A 1,768-nucleotide genomic window follows, 5' to 3' on the forward strand; every position below is an offset into this window, starting at 1 on the left:
AATCAAAATGGGCATTTTCTTTCCTCTCCATATATTTTGTAAAGCAGATAGGCTGCAATATGCTTATGCATGAGCATATAGGTTGCTTTGACCAAATCCCAAAGTGTGACCAGCTGGGACATTCCATGGGAATTTTTCTTACTTGCTGATTTGATTCCTCAAAGTCCTTCGTTTATTATAGGTGACTAACACCTTTGAAAAAATATTTGGCCTCTGTCAGAGTTTTGCATACACATTAAAGTTCCTAGTTTCCCCAAATATTGAATTCACTAAAAAACTGTTTATATGTACAGACCAAGAAGTCATTATCTCAAACTGACATTGAATGACAGTCCAAACTCTTAAACTCTCACTAAGCTTCAAACTAGACTACTTCTTCGCAATATTTATCCCAGTAGCACTATTTGTCATCTGATATATTGTGAAATTATCAATATGATACATAAACTCAGACTGTAACATTAATCAATTTTTCAAATATTTACTTATTTTCCTCATCACAATATTCTGGTTACCGCCAACAACCTCTTTCAATTCTTTATCGGGTGATAGGGTATAGGAATCATGTCTTTTTTACTAATTACCTGATGGTATGGCTGAGCAGATGCTAATACAGCAGCCCTCCAAGCAGTTCTGCACAACCACATCAGAGATATTGGCTTTATTTTAGCGATAGCATGGTTCCTCTTATCCTCCAACACATGAGAGCTTCAACAAGCATTTATTCTAAATCCTACCCCCGACTCCCTTCCATTAATTAGCCTTCTCTTAGCAGAAGGCTAATTGTGAATCGTGCAATTGTGAATCGTGCCGCTATAAACATACGTGTGCAAGTGTCTTTTTCATATAGTGACTTCTTTTCCTCAGGGATACCCAGTAGTGGAGTTGCTGGATCAAATGGTAGATCTACTTTTAGTTCTTTAAGGAATCTCCACACTGTTTTCCATAGTGGCTGTACTAGTTTACATTCCCACCAGCAGAGTAAAAGTGTTCCCTTTCCACCACGTACACACCAACATCTCTTATTTTTTGATTTTTAAATTATGGCCATTCTTGCAGGAGTAAGATAGCATTGCATTGTGGTTTTGATTTGCATTTCCCTGATAATTAGTGATGTTGAGCATTTTTAATATGTTTGTTGCCCATTTGTATATCTTCTTTTGAGAGTTGTCTATTCATGTCCTTAGCCCAGTTTTTTTTGGGGGGGTAGTAGGTAACAAGGCAAATGTTTTCTATTCTTTTTTTTAAACTTTATTTTTCTATAGGTTATTGGGACACAGGTGGTGTTTGGTTATATGAGTAAGTTCTTTTTTTTTTTTTTTTTTTTTTTTTTTTTTTTTTTTTTTTTTTGAGACGGAGTCTCGCTCTGTCGCCCAGGCTGGAGTGCAGTGGCGGGATCTCGGCTCACTGCAAGCTCCGCCTCCCGGGTTCACGCCATTCTCCTGCCTCAGCCTCCCAAGTAGCTGGGACTACAGGCGCCCGCCACTACGCCCGGCTAATTTTTTGTATTTTTAGTAGAGACGGGGTTTCACCGTTTTAGCCGGGATGGTCTCGATCTCCTGACCTCGTGATCCGCCCGCCTCGGCCTCCCAAAGTGCTGGGATTACAGGCGTGAGCCACCGCGCCCGTCCATGAGTAAGTTCTTTAGTGGTGATTTGTAAGCTTTTGGTGCACCCATAACCTAAGCAGTATACACTGCAGCCTATTTGTAGTCTTCTATCCCTCACCCCTCTCCCACCCTTTCCCCCAAGTCCCTAAAGTCCATTGT

General features: G+C 40.3%; 1 pseudogene; it reads left to right on the forward strand.

The window, feature by feature from the left end:
• On the forward strand, positions 278-775 carry MTND5P42 (MT-ND5 pseudogene 42; annotated as a pseudogene).

Source organism: Homo sapiens, chromosome 10 (genome assembly GCF_000001405.40).
Source record: "Homo sapiens chromosome 10, GRCh38.p14 Primary Assembly".
NCBI lineage: Eukaryota > Metazoa > Chordata > Mammalia > Primates > Hominidae > Homo > Homo sapiens.